Genomic DNA, 16,113 nt, shown 5'->3' with positions numbered 1-16,113 from the left:
ATTTGGTTTTTCACTTAGACTTTTAAAGTTATAGAGTTATGTAAATTTAATTAATATAGGACGGCATACACAAATTATTTGAAGTTTTAAGCATTTAAGTGGTGTGAATTGAACATAGAATTTTAAAAATAAAGATTGACAGCATGGGTTTTTATCCTATTGATTTTGACCAACTCATAGCAAATTACAAATACTTCTCAATCAATGTGTCTCATGTTCCTTGCCTTTAAATAAGGCTACTAATACCTATCTCACCTGTCTTAGTCCATTGAGGATCAATTAAAAGTTGAGATGAATGTTTTTGTTTGAGTTGTAATTTACACAAACCCTACAAATGTAAAGAGTGGCAATATCGGTATCAGCAATGGGTGACACTGTCACCGATGGCTACAGACAAATTGTTGAATTGTACATTGTTTTTGGGTTATTTTGATGTGTCAGTTTTCTTTTACATGTGGAAAAATCAGTTCAATGGGGTGTAAACCACCTCCTCTGCCCACAAACCAGGAGTGAGGATACCAGATTTCTGTGACTAACTAGTTTTATGACCTTGAATTAGTCACTTTGCTTCTCTTAGTCCCTATATCCTGGGACTTAGAGCATAAATGCATAGATATTCATTTATTTATATAATATATAAAAATTAACAGATAGTCCCAAAGTTGCTTATATTTCTAATATTATAAAATTTTATGTGACTCAGCACTGTCAAGTGTCATTGTTTGTTGTGTTCCATTTATGAAAAATTTTATTATCTCAGATGCTTTTACATTCCTACATTTTGCATATATGTTTTCCTCATCTTAGGGGAAATATTTTGTTTTCTGCTAACATTTGAAAGAAAAATTCTAATCCAAGGATGACAATAGTAAAATGAAAAGGGAGGTGTAGTACTAAATATAAGTAGTTACAAGCTAGCAGTAGAAGACAGGTTACAAATGAAATGCTCATGGATTTTTTGTTCATTGTAGACCCAGAGAAGTGCAATTTCATTACTTTTTCTACTCTTTCTATTTACAGTTACAGATATATCATATGAGAAGGGCTTTATTGAAAAAAATTCTCTGATTAGTAGAATATTTAATAAGAATTCTGACTGAACTGATTATTTTCTTTACTACTTTCAGCCTTCCCTACTGGGCTTCTTCCTAAAGGTGCAGGCCAAATCCAGGTTCTAAAGAGAATATGAAATTTATCCATTTATATCTCAAGGCCTGTAGAAGAATTTTAAGTGAAAGCAATTCAAGAAACATTAAAGTAAAACGAATACATGATATATTTATTCCTTGGTTCACTCATTGTTAATCATCCACTTATTCATTAATTCATCAAATATTAATGCTCATCTACTAGTTGCCAGACTTGGTTCTAATGATGCAAAGATAAGTGAAATATATCCTTTCTCTCTAGGAGTTCACAGTCTAGTATACAAGGCAGAGATTGCATTTTAATCACTTTTCTTTTTAACAGTAAAACTGTTATGCCTAACAAAATTTCACCAAAAGACAGCAGCACCTTTACGTTTTTGTTTGGTATTGGCAGTTTTTTCTCTTGATTTTCTTTCCATTTCCCACTCAAAGATCTCTGTGTTTTACTTTTATTTACATAGTTATAGCAACTAACTAAGTTTAAATTATAAGACAGTCTTTAGGGTTGTATGCCTATTTTCTGATGGGGATTCTATAGTAAAGTACAACTTATATTTGTAGGAAGTACATGCAATTATAATTCCTGGTGCAAGCAGCTTGCTTTCAATTCTGTTTCTGATTATCACAAATATTTGACATTCATGAAGTTTATTTTTTGTTGTTTTACAAATATGATGGATTAAGTGAAATATTAAAACAATGATTAAAATAAGTTTAGTAGTATTTTCAAGAGAGAAGAATTTAGTATAATTAAGGTAGATTTTTTTTTTGGTACTCTGCTTAAAGTTAGATTTATAGGACTCTGTACAGGGAAGTTATTTAAATAAAATGCCTAATGATTACTCATAGGATTGCCATACCTGTAATCAGCCCTAAGCATGTGCTGTTCAAGGGAATGGTACAATATATTAAGTAAATATAGAAGATTTATAGAATAATGTCAAGGTCTGAATAGTGTACCTATAAAGAAATGTTCAGAATGATTTTCTCCAAATGGAAATATGTAGCAGTCCATTTTAAGAGCTAGCTTGGAACTATTGGAATTAACTAGGGTAACACTTTTAGTTCTGTTTAAGTAAAGCCTTGAGAGACATGGTAGAATATATATATTTTTGTAAACTTTTCCTTGGAGGAAATTTCAAAAATTCAGAATCTACTTATTTGTCTTTTACCAGAAAATCACTTTATGCATACGTTGCCATTTATAGATTATTTTCTTTTCTTCTAAGTGCTTGCTACCTAGAAGTAATGCTTCTTTGCGTCTTTCTGCTATCTCTTACATCCTGACCTGTACTCAAATTTCTATGTCAGGAAATTTGGAAAAAGTTAATTCATAAGAAGTATTGAATATGAAATAAAATATTTGTAGTCTGTCTCATTAGCAGGTAAATTTTGGTAAACCCAATTAGAACCTATAAATCTTTATTCTGATATTATATTTTAGGTGCTACTAAGTTACTTTCTTTATTCTTGTTTCCTTTAATTAAAAAGAAACATTTTTCAAAATTTAAAAAGCCTCATATATCAAATAAAATACTTATAATATGATTTTCTCCATAATTCTAATTCAGAATATTCTTTTAGCTGCAACTTTATCACTAAAGTATGAATTATTTTAAAAGTTAAAGTATGAATTATTTTAAAAGTTTCTGTATTTAATATGACTTTTGGCTAAAACAATAGATATATAAAAAATAAGAAACTCCTATTTTAATTATTTAACCATAGTCATTTAAAATGTATCATGTTTCCAAGGCTGTTTTAAAAAATATGTCTTGTATATTTGTCTATGCATTAAGATGTATCTTGAAAATTAACTACTTGCTACATTTAATCTCAATGTCAATAATAAATTAGATTACTAATAATCAATCAATGGCATTAAGAGATAGTGTAGCAAACACTAAGTAAGATATATGGATACCAAGATATATCTCAAGATGATTTAAGCATCTATTATGCTTCCCATAAAAATTTTGGGTTAATAATCAGTTATTTTTTAAAAAAGATAACACTGATCTTCAATAATAAAGATGGGGTTGTTCCTCAAGAATGTCTAAATAATGAATGTAGAAATTCTCATTCTGTAATGTTTCATAAGGATAATATTTGATGAATGGTGCCTTTCTAGATGGAGGCATGGGGATAATCCCCAGTCACTCTCTGGGACTGTCATGATTTTAGGTGCCCACGTCTGTGTCCCAGTCTCTCCTGGCTAGTGACCTGGATCACTAGAAGCCCAAGTAAAATTAAATAGATTATAAACTTTTTAGCATTCCTGGGAAAGCATCATGTAAACTCCATTATCAGAAACTCCCCTTATTTCACATTATATTCCCTATTTAGTTCATGTAAATTCTCAAAATGAAATTTTTAAGAAGTCTCAGCAGACTCCTATATTTAAAAATGAATATTTTTAATTCTCAATGCTGCTAGCATTTGGAAGACTTTCTTATATCAAAAGACCATAACTTTTGATAAAAAGAAAAAAATACACTCTGTGAACATGTATGCCTTATAATATGACTCTGTATTGATTTATTGAGGTTTTAATTTAAACCTATATTTAGTTAAGTTTTAAGGCCAGATTCTATTAAGTGCAAAGGTAAATTACTTTTATTATAAGTATTTTCTAATTATATATTTTAATTTTTATCACTCATAAGAGCAAGTTTTTTTTTCTTCACTTGCTTGTTGAAAATCTCTACCCATTTAAAGAAAGAAAAAAAAGCATTAAAACTTTTATGATCACTTAAAGGATGCTACAAAAATGGGTTCTAGTTATATTTATACATTCATAATTTTGAAGATATAAGCAATAGGTTTTTTGTATTACTTTGATTTGAAATAATTTCCATTATTTTCACTTGATTTTTTTTTTTTTTTTTAACTCTTCTAGGAAACAAGAGTTGGATAGTAGTCATCCTCCAAAGCAATCAGGAAGACCCCCGGACCCTGGGCGTCCAGCTCAACCTGGTCTCAGTAAAAGTAGAACTACAGACACTTTCAGGTCAGAGCAGAAATTGCCTGGGAGGAGTCCTTCCACTATTAGCTTGAAAGAATCAAAGTCCAGAACTGATTTAAAGGAAGAGCACAAGTCTAGTATGATGCCTGGCTTCCTCTCAGAGGTTAACGCTTTAAGTGCTGTTTCCTCTGTTGTAAATAAATTCAACCCTTTTGATTTGATATCAGACTCTGAGGCATCCCAGGAAGAAACCACCAAGAAACAAAAAGTGGTTCAGAAGGAGCAAGGAAAACCTGAAGGAATCATAAAACCTCCTTTACAACAACAGCCACCCAAGCCGATTCCTAAGCAGCAAGGACCTGGTAGGGATCCGCTTCAGCAGGATGGCACTCCCAAATCAATATCTTCTCAACAACCAGAAAAAATTAAATCACAACCTCCAGGTACAGGAAAGCCAATTCAGGGTCCTACCCAGACTCCTCAGACAGACCATGCAAAATTGCCACTTCAACGAGATGCATCCAGGCCTCAGACTAAACAGGCAGACATAGTAAGGGGAGAATCAGTTAAACCCTCACTGCCAAGCCCATCCAAACCACCTATTCAGCAACCAACTCCTGGAAAACCTCCAGCACAGCAGCCTGGACATGAAAAATCACAGCCTGGGCCTGCAAAGCCCCCAGCTCAGCCCTCAGGGCTAACAAAGCCATTGGCTCAACAACCAGGGACAGTGAAACCCCCAGTCCAGCCACCAGGGACAACAAAGCCTCCAGCTCAGCCTCTTGGTCCTGCTAAGCCTCCAGCTCAGCAGACTGGGTCAGAGAAGCCTTCATCGGAGCAGCCTGGGCCAAAGGCTTTAGCTCAGCCTCCTGGAGTTGGAAAGACTCCAGCTCAACAGCCAGGGCCAGCAAAGCCTCCAACCCAGCAGGTGGGGACACCAAAACCCCTAGCTCAACAACCTGGGCTACAGTCTCCAGCTAAGGCACCTGGGCCTACAAAGACTCCAGTTCAGCAGCCTGGGCCAGGAAAGATTCCAGCTCAACAGGCAGGACCCGGAAAGACTTCTGCCCAGCAGACTGGCCCAACAAAGCCTCCTTCACAACTGCCTGGCCCAGCAAAGCCCCCACCTCAACAGCCTGGCCCAGCAAAGCCCCCACCTCAACAGCCTGGCTCAGCAAAGCCCCCATCTCAACAGCCTGGCTCAACAAAACCCCCACCTCAACAGCCTGGCCCAGCAAAGCCCTCACCTCAACAGCCTGGCTCAACAAAACCCCCATCTCAACAGCCTGGCTCAGCAAAACCCTCAGCTCAACAGCCTAGCCCAGCAAAGCCCTCGGCTCAGCAATCTACAAAACCAGTAAGCCAAACAGGATCTGGAAAACCTCTGCAGCCACCAACAGTGTCTCCATCTGCAAAACAGCCTCCTTCACAAGGCCTCCCTAAAACCATCTGTCCTCTTTGCAATACCACTGAACTTCTGTTGCATGTTCCAGAAAAGGCCAATTTTAACACATGCACTGAGTGTCAAACCACTGTCTGTAGTCTCTGTGGTTTTAATCCCAATCCTCATTTAACGGAGGTAAGTGCATTTATTCACTGAGTCCATACTCTTCAGCCATATCATCCTCTTATACAAATGATGCTTAACTAAACACATATATGACATGATGGCATTGTCTTTCTCTGGATTCTCCCCTCCTTCGTTCGTTTTGTTTTCTGCCAGTTGTAATTTTTTTTTAACATTTCTCTGACTAGAAGCCTCAAACATTGCCACAATTTCTGAAAATTTGACATATAAGACAAATATAAATTGATTGAAAGATGCTGGGCATCTACTCATTTCACTCTGTATTTAAGACCCACACTGTTATTTAGCATACAATGGTATTGCTTTAACTTTTACATTGGTGTTCCTACCTATCAAAATTTTGGTATTCATAAATGTTATTTATATTTGTGTTAGAAAAAAAGTGGACAATGTTTTCAAATTCTGAATACAATTTTAACTTAAAACTGAATATAGTTTTTTAATCTCCACATCCCTTTTCCCTGCTAGTAATTCTGATATATCAAATGAGGGCATGTTGAGAGTCCTTAATAACAGTATTAAATCATTTCACAAAATGAAGAAGTTGTTAGAGCAGGTTCAGAATATATGGCTGACTTCTCAGATGACAGTTTATATCGCCTAGGCTTGAATCTGGGTAGCCTTAATGTTTCCAAGGGTTAGCTGGGTAATACTTTCTGACTCATCAAATTATAAAAAGGTTAATTGTGATATAGATGAGTACAAGTTTGTTTACTCAGATTGAGGATAGAAGAGTAGTTCTCAGCAAGTTAACTGACTTTATTAATATTAGTTCAGCATGAAAAGGCCTGGAATAATGTAGCATTTTAATAGGTAGAGATTCAGAGGTTTTTTTTTTTTAGGGGAAGAGACAAGAAGATACAAAGCATTTTTAAAAACTCAGAAATTCTCTGGCATTAAGAAATAAAACAGTGAAGATGGTATAAAGAAATGGGCAATGAGGTTGGAGATAGGTTAGAGTCAGACTTTGGCTTTCCACATTTAGTAGGTAATGATCAGCATATAAATAGAGAAGAGGTTTAGGCTCTAAGAGAATATGAGGGATTCATTTTTGTAAGAGATCTAATAGCCTCTACTTAATGAGAAGGCACAGAAATCATTTAGCCTGTCTGGAGGACAGCTGTTAGTGGGCTATCTGTGCATTACATCTGCAAACAGCCCAGGAAGTAACACAGCAGGCAGTGAAGGATTACATGATTTAAATATCCCTGAGACGTGAAGCTTGTATACTTTTGTTATAAATGAAATCTATCATGATAATAACAATAATGATGATCATTGGTAATTTATGTTAATGTGGATACTTATGAAAAATGATGCAAATTTAAAATATGTCAACTCTTGGTTGTTTTCTAAAGTAACCTTTACTTTTTTAAACAAAAGTAATATTGAGTAATTTAACTTTTCAAGTAAATAATCATTTACTTATAAAACTACAATTAATAAGAATATGCTGCATTTGACTTATGGAAGAAATCAGATTATAAGTAGTTTATATATATACACATATATACATATACATATGTTTATATATACAATATATACATATACATATGTTTTTATATATACATATATATATGTAGCTTTTTAAGCCTTGGTAAAATATGTTTCTCCCCATATTATACTCTCCTTATAGGAATGTGAAGTAATAATGACTTCAGATGATAGATGATCACTTTATAGTGTTTGGATTTGTCTTGGTTTTGTGGCAATTTACAAGGCAGAAATATGCAGCTGGAAATTTAAGCTGTATATGTTATTTCTACATCCAATGTAAGAAAGACAGTTATTATTTGAATACCTACTATGTGGAAGATATTCTGTTATATGTTTGGTGAGATATAAAGATAACTAAAATGTGAATGTTGATCTTAATAGATTAAAAATCACGAGATAATACATGCACAAGAAAATATAATATATGTGACCAGATTATAAGAGCTGTGAGAGATATGAATAAATATGGACTTCAGAGTAGAAAGTGCTCATTTCCAGGGGATGAGATTAAGGAGAACTTCATGGGGAAAATGGCATTTGAGCTGGGCATATAAGGATGGGCACTATTTCAATAGATATAGGACATGAAAGAGTGTAATGATTTGGGCCCAAACTTGGAGCTACAAAAGTACAGAGTATATTTTAGGGAGTCAAGAATAAATGTAGGTTAGCTAGGGTGTTGGAAAAGAAATGGGCAATGAGATTGGAGATAGGTTGAAGTCAGATTTTAGCCTTACACATTTAGCAGGTAGTGATGAGCTTTCTACTTTTTGAAAGTTACCTCAATTAATATGATACACATTTGATGGTTCATTGTACTAATTTGTATCAAATGCCTAGTTACAAAGCATTATTGAATGCTATGGGAGAATCAAATATTTGTTAGATATGCAGTCTTCTCTCAACCATAAATAGGAGAAATACAAGTTGCACATAAAAAGAACATCTATATATTTATTTCTATAAAAAGTAACTTTGGGCCGGGCGTGGTGGCTCATGCCTGTAATCCCAGCACTTTGGGAGGCCGAGGCGGGCAGATCACGAGGTCAGGAGATTGAGACCATCCTGGCTAACACAGTGAAACCCCGTCTCTACTAAAAATACAAAAAATTAGCCGGGCGTGGTGGCGGGCGCTTGTAGTCCCAGCTACTAGGGAGGCTGAAGCAGGAGAATGGCCTGAACCGGGGAGGCGGAGCTTGCAGTGAGCCAAGATCACGCCACTGCATTCCAGCCTGGGCAACAGAGCAAAGCAAGACTCTGTCTCAAAAAAAAAAAAAAGTAAGTTTGTATAGGGCTTTTCAGTTCACAGAGTCCTTTGTTTTATTAAAATTAAACTTCCCATAATTTTGTGTTTCTTCTCTATTATACCAATGAGGAAACTGGCATTCAAGTAGTTACTATAGTTAGTTTAGTTGTGAGGATCACCCAGATAGTATATTCACAAACAGAAGCCAATCATTCCGATTCCAAATCAGTTTACCTATGGTAGGAAGAGAGATGAAGTGTTACAGGGTCAAAGGAAGAAACCATCACAATTAGTGGGGGATATTACAGCTATCTTCATGAAAGGTGAAGTATGTGAGCTGGGAATATGAAAGATAATAAGAATTTGAACACACATAAATGAGCATGGAAGAAGCTAGGAACATAAGGGCAGGTAGAGAAGCTCACTAGCTATGTAAAGGAAGGCATTTCCTTATTGACTGAATAAACTTGGACAAGCCATTTACACTTTCTGTTACAATGGCACCATTTGACATATGAAAATAATAACATGCTCTCTGCCAGACACACTGGAAGATTAACTGAAAATTTGTATGAGAAGGTATTTTAGATACATGAAGTGCTTTTAAAGTTGCAATATATGGCAACACAGATGATCTTAATATTTGAAACAAATTTGGCCTTTAAATTTATTGTACATTCTTTTTTACATAGATAACAGTATCATAAATTCTTAGATGCTGAGGCAGCCATCTAAAGACATTCGATCAACAGTATTAGTGATATCGTTTCATTTTAACTTTCATTGATTTTTTTTCCTATAAGAAAAAACGCAATCAAAAGGTCTAATTCTGAACTCTAGAAAGGCATCTTTTCTAATACTGCCTACCAAATGGCCAGTTTCTCTAACTCCTAAATTTTATGGAGGTCAGAATTGAGAAGTTAGAGCTCTAGAGAGAGGCTGTAAGCTTCTGTTACAGGAGATAAGGTTGATGAAATTTTGGGGACAACCACCACTTCTGTCACAGTTGTGGTGTAAAACACCATAACTTTCATACGTATCCATGAAAAAGTAAATCTGCATCTTCCAAAGAGGATGTAACACTCTGGGTCAAGTTGCCCTCAAGTATTCAGATTGAGTAAACAGTTTTTCTATGCAAGATAGGGACATCCTTTGGTACAATTATGTGAATTTATTATTTTCCAGCTTGTTGTTTATATGCATGTAAATCTTTGCTTGCGTAATGTATGGGTGAAATAGATACACTTAACATTCCTTAAAAAAGGAAGAATTTCTCTAATATTTTTTGTTACCAATCTATCAGAATTATGACTATATTTGCTTGTGACCATCATGGCTCTGTAATGACTACCAGATCTGGGAAGGAAGGAAGGAAGGAAGGAAGGACTAGATAATTAGCTACACTCAGCCACAAGCTTTAGAGAAGGGGACATGTTTACTCCCTTAGTTCCAAACTCACGAATCATCACTCCCCGACCCAACCCTGCCACACATGAGCACTTTAGGCAACCCAAACATCTATGTGAAGAGGATCACCTTTAAATTAACTGCCTTCTCTGGAGGCTATCAAGATGTATGCTGTTCCAAACAAACCTTAAGAATCCACTGGCTGCAAGCCTAGGCCTTTGATGCCTAGACCTTGACCAGAGGGGTGTATAGCTGTATCTCTTCTTGTGGCCCATTAATTGAATAAATCTCTCTAATATTTGTCCTCTCTTTGGGCATGCATTTTGACACAGAACCTGAACGTTTGCTTTCTAATTGGAGGCAGAAGTATATTGTTTTCGTTGATTTACTTTATCTCTTTTGGTATGTAGCCTCACTCAAGATATATTTAGGAACAGAGATCTAAAGGCCTGTCCCTAATGTTTGGTAATTTTCCCAACTCTTATTAAATTTCATAATAAATGAAAACGACTTATCACTTTTCAGAATGTTGAAAATGAACCAAATGTTAGGGATTAAAATGGATTTAAGCGAAGTTTTCTCGCCATTTTTTTTTTAGTCATTATGGCACATATATAAGTCTTTTGGCAGAAGCCAGATATTTTGTCTAACAAAACCATAGCCACCTTTAATGAGCTAAAACAAACAAACAAAAAACTCCTTGACTTGCATATATCAACTTTCATATAAACTTTCTCCACTTAATAAACAAAACAAAAAAATAATGACTGAAATTCTTCAGTTGGGTTAAATGGCTTAACTGCCCATGACCTTTCCGTGGATAATCCTGTTGCATCTTATTTTTCTAGTAAGAGAAATGGGGAGAAGTTGTTCAGAAGAGCTGGTAGAAAATAGTGGAGCTATGCCAAATGTCAAGAGGCTGGAATCTGTGGAGAGAGAAAGCCTGTAAGACATTCCTGATGGTGAAGTAACTGAAAGAACTTTTAGAAAAGAGGATGTTCTCTTTTTAGTTGCTTGCTGTTTTTAGCACAGAGACTTTTTTTTTAAGCTTAAATTCTAAGCAAAAACTGCCACACAGTTCCTCTTAAAAAGGAGGACTGAGCACACAAATGCTCATCTCCTCTATCTTCAAGTCCCACTTTCTAAAAGATTTAAAGTATAGTCATTCCAAGAAATGTGAAAGAGCTCCAAAAACATAAGTTGGTATGTTGAAGAATTCCTTGAAGGTAGAAAGAAAATGGAAAGGAAAAAGAGCTGAGAAAACCACTGTCCAAGTGGCTAGTCAGGAGACCTCAGAGAAGCCCTAACTTGGAATCAAAAAATATAAAAAGCAGTAGTGGGATGTGGTAGTAGTCAAAGAATAAATTTCAGAACTGCAGTAGGAACAAAAGGACAATTGGTCTCTTTCTTAATCTTCACTGGGAAGACAAGGTACAGGAGGAACCCCTTCAGGCTAAAGCCAGAGATTAATCCACAAATGAAAGGGTGACCTGCCTGAGGAAGGGCCCCCATGAGAAAACTAGGACCTTCAAAAAGAAGAATAGAAGTGGAGGTGATGCTTCTCTCCCACAATGGGGTATTGCAAAAAAGAAAACAAATAGAACATTACTCATCTATGAGTCAAATCCCCTGAACTATTACCATCAGAGTAAAACTGTCCTTACTTGGATACTGACCCCCTGCCATCCTGTTTTCTCTCATTCGAAGTAGAGAACAAATGGGGAAGCAGAACTGTCTACAAACAGACAAAAAACTGTTGATTACCTATGAGTGGATTAAGAGCCTAACTAGACATTTTAGCAATAACATGGCATGAATGACATATATGAACTGACAGAAACAATAACAAAAATAACAATCAACCTCATAGGAAAAAGTTCATTCTTCAAAGAATGTAAGAAAATTCTTACTATTCCTGAGAGATATGTAAGAAGATATTTTCTCTATAGTTAACATACACAAATTTCAATGGGCTGGTTGAGGGTAAAAAAAAAGGAACTCAGTTAATGGTCTAAAAAATAAGGACCTAGAATTTTCCCAGATTGCATAGAGTTAAAAAACAAAAGAAAAAAAAGTATTTACTTACTTAACATCTACCATACTTCAGGTGTGTTCTAGACTCTGGGAATATGAGAGTGAACAAAGTTGAAAAAATCCTTCCCTTATGGAGCATGTATTCTATTAAGAGTCATAAATAAATAAAACATATGGTGAGACAGATGACAATGTGTTATGAAGAAAATTGAAGTAGGGGAGGGTTGTAGTATGTTCCAAGAGAGGGATGGGGTTGGGTTGTAGGGTTCCCTCACTCCCTTCTATTGGGTGATTACAGTCTGAAATTGATAAGTTACTTGGCAATCTAGAATTTTTAATGGTGACTAAAATTCTAATCGGCTGTAGTCCTAACTGAGGCTGTGGGTCAAGGGTAAGGGTACTAAGAAAGGAAAGGGTGTGAATGTACCCAGGAGTGTGGATAACTCTGAGATGTTTTCTTCACTCCTGCCTGTTGTAATGTGGATGTAAAGGAATGAGCATTTTATGAAATCCACAGCATAAGGAGCTATTTCTATTCCTAAAAACAGATAATAGTATAATGTTGTCTTATGAAAAAATTCACCTTGGATAACAAGGTAAAAATACATTAGATTTTCAATTTATACATAAAAATAAAATCAAAATCTACTATTTGATATTCTATTGGCTACCACAAGAAAAACTAAAAGCAAAAGTTAATACTGATTGATTCCAGAGAGGAAGGCTTGGTGGTAGTGAGGGAGGCTTTTACTTTTTATGCCATACATTTATGCACTATTTTTTTATTTTTTAAATTCATGTTATAACTAAAATTAACACTGGTATAATTTAAAAACTTTAAATCATCAAATGCTTAAACAAGTATATTATATAAAGGGTTAAAGGACTTGATTCTTCATTTTTACATCTTCAGCCTTGGTATTCTTCTTGGTGAAATGTCAGGGATTTTTCATTCTAAATAACAATGAGGATTTGAAATATTTTAAGCCTGTGATGCCAAGTTTGGTCAGTTTCTTTGTTCATTCTTTGCTTGTCACAGCCATGTATGCTTTAACTGGTCCTAATGTTTGCATGGAGCCAATAGAAAAAAATAAAGTACCTAGATTCTATGCATAAGGTTTTTGGAAAACAAAGTTTATTGGGTTTTTTGCAATTCTCTGATAATCTCTGTGGTATTGTTCATACTGTTTAAAGTGAGAATATCCTAATTATAACAAAATGAATTTACCTTTATTTAAAGTAGTTTTCTAATTAAATTAAAGAAATATAATTCAATCATTTAAAAACATGTATTATTTAATTACGTTTACAAACACTCTGTTTAGCTCTCATCTTTGATGTGATCCAGTTTGCACTGTTTTCTTATGATTTGGATATTCCCTGGATTTATGTGTTAATATACACCTAGGCATATACATTATATGTAATATTAATATTATATACATACATAAGTTTAATCATTGGAACCAAAGCCTTTTTTTTTTTTATTTTTTTTTTATACCTTCAGCTTTTAAATGACTAGATGTTTCAGGTATCTTTCTGGAGAGCCAGCTTTCATAATGTCTAGTAAGCCTGTTGTTATATATTAGTAGCTTGATAGGAACAGATGTTCTGCTGTGAAGGCAGATACCCACCGTTAAGATCATTTATTGGGTCTGGGTGCGGTGGCTCATGCTTGTAATCCCAGCATTTTGGGAGGCTGAGGCGGGTGGATCATCTGAGGTCAGGAGTTCGAGATCAGCCTGGCCAACATGGTGAAACCCTGTCTCTGCTAAAAATACAAAAAATTAGCTGGGCGTGGTGGTGGGCACCTGTAATCCCAGCTACTCTGGAGTCTGAGTGAGGCAGGGGAATCACTTGAACCCGAGAGGCAGAGGTTGCAGTGAGCCTAGGTCGTGCCACTGCACTCCACCCTGGGTGACGAGAGTGAAACTCTGTCTCAAAAAAAAAAAAAAAAGTATTTATTGGATCAGTAAGCTGAATATAGTAAAGGGTTAACTTGCTCATTGTTTATATTCCTTGAGAAAACACACATATCTAACAGTTTCCCCTATTTCACATCTTTAATTTATAACTAAACTAAATTCTCTTGGTATCTTAATCTTAGTTTAGATAAATATAAGCTCCATTTAGAAATAATTCTAATATATTATTACACTGAAGATAAAGAGGTAAATAATTTGTTAGAAGTTTATACTGGTTATCCTTAAAGTAATAATAGTATGAAGTACATCAGTAAGGTGTCAAACAATATGGGTTCTGGTCCTAGTTCTGCCTCTCACATATGTCCACTCTTAGTGACATGACTATGAATTCACCGAAAAGTATATCTTGTTACCTTTGATAAGGAAGCAACATTTTCACTACAAACAATGTTTCTTGTCTTTATCTTACTTCAATATGAAAGGAGTTTGGTCTCTTGTCACAGGGAAGAGAGATTGTAGTTTGAACACCATGCATTTCAAACTGTGCACGAAGCACTTTATATGCATTTCGTCATTTTATGCTCTTTTAATGAGGTGGTATCTACATTTTAAAGATGGGTAAAGAGATTAAGAAAATCAGAGTTCATATTATAAAGTATTTTGAAGTCTGCCATCCCTCTTGATAAATTAATCATAAGATGGTGCTTTGGAAAACTGGAAAATATGAGATTTTAAAGTTGGGCAATGTGGGTATGAATCCTACCTAGATCAGCTACTTATTTGTTGTGTGATTTGGTCAGGTGACTTTATTGTTTTTTAAGTGTTTAGTTTCATTATTTGTAATGTGAGAGTATTCGTAAGCTAAAAATCACATTTGGCAGTATAAGTGGAAGGGCTCTGAAATTAAAATTGTAGGTAAACATTCAGTGTTATTACTATTACCACTACTAATTAAAATCTTTATAACATTCTAATAGGCAGATAGGGATAGCACCATCATTATTGACTCCATTGGTAGATAAGAAAACTGGGGTTAAGAATTTAAATGACTTTTGCACAGTCACAGAATTACTTGGCAATGGATCCCATACAAGAAGTGAGATTCGCTGACCCAAAATTTAGCACCTTTTTATAGGAGATCACATTGTCCTTAATTGGATTACTTGATTCACCATACCATTTTCTAAATTTCTAGGTTATGGCAAGTGTATGTATGTGTGTATATTTACATATCCTTAAAGTTAAAAAGAAATTAACGTTCTTGGCAGGGATATTTTCAGAATACTTAGTTTAAAAAAAATCAAGGTTTAAGAGTACTTGTTTTTTCCTTCATACATACTTCTGTCCAAACCAGAGACTTACATTGATTCATACTTCTTTGTTCTCTAAGAAAGCTGTGAACTCCTACTCTAAGCAGGCCACTCTGTTCAAAATTGAGACTAGAGATGATGAAGGTCATAACTTTGACGGGCCACTGTCAGAAATAGAATCCAGAGTCTAAAAAGAGAGCCAAATGCTTAGCAATTTAAGATGGAATCTTGTTTATAAAAGAGAATATGAAAAAGTACATATAGATGAGATCAGTTCTCACTTCAATATAAAGTAGTAAAGTACCTTTCCTATTCTTTCTCTCTCTAATAAAAAAATCACTTGCAATACCATTTACAGAAATATGACACTTCTACTCTTTGTTCAGCAAAGTAAGCATTACCAGTTAAATACTTAAAACAACTCTTATGAACAGATTTCTACTTATGCAACGTAACTTAAAGAAATCAAGTAGCAGGCTTTACTATGTGAACATGTTCTGTAATTGTATTTTTGGGGAAAATTTTTAATGTGTAGATCTTTTTAAATTTATTTAAAGTTTTTAACTTATTGATAGGATAGTTAATCTATCCTGTAAATGGGTTAAAGAAATAGTCAGAAGGAAATAAATGACAATGAAAAATGTAGATAAGATTTGTAAAACATTTTTGAAAATAATGTAATGCAGATTAATCGGATTAATCATAATTTTAAAATGAGATTTTTTTTAAATATACTGTTAAGTGGTTATACATATATCTATGTAAAATTTTAATAATTGACAGTTGTAAGGAGCATCTATTCACAGAGAGCTAAAATAGGCTAAAAGTTCCTTATGAACATTCTTTTTATAGAGGCCTTAATATAGTTAAGGATTTCATATATTTTTATCTTTTTTTTGAGACGGAGTTTCACTCTCGTTGTGCAGGCTGGAGTGCAATGGTGTGATCTCAGCTCACTGCAACCTCTGCTTCCCAGGTTTAAGCAATTCTCCT

At 34.7% G+C, this 16,113-nt stretch overlaps 1 protein-coding gene across 7 annotated transcripts in view; it reads left to right on the top strand.

Annotated features, from left to right (window-relative positions):
* Positions 1–16,113, top strand: part of PCLO (piccolo presynaptic cytomatrix protein) — a 408,873-nt gene that overhangs the window by 2,445 nt on the left and 390,315 nt on the right. For all 7 annotated transcript variants that reach the window (XM_017012006.3, XM_047420211.1, NM_033026.6 and 4 more), the window contains exon 2: positions 4,048–5,692. In XM_017012006.3, coding sequence (XP_016867495.1) covers positions 4,048–5,692 — 1,645 coding nt within the window. The remainder of the gene's footprint in view (positions 1–4,047; positions 5,693–16,113) is intronic.

Source organism: Homo sapiens, chromosome 7, assembly GCF_000001405.40.
Source record: "Homo sapiens chromosome 7, GRCh38.p14 Primary Assembly".
NCBI lineage: Eukaryota > Metazoa > Chordata > Mammalia > Primates > Hominidae > Homo > Homo sapiens.
Note: the sequence above shows the minus strand (reverse complement) of the source record. Positions and strands in the feature narration are given on the sequence as shown.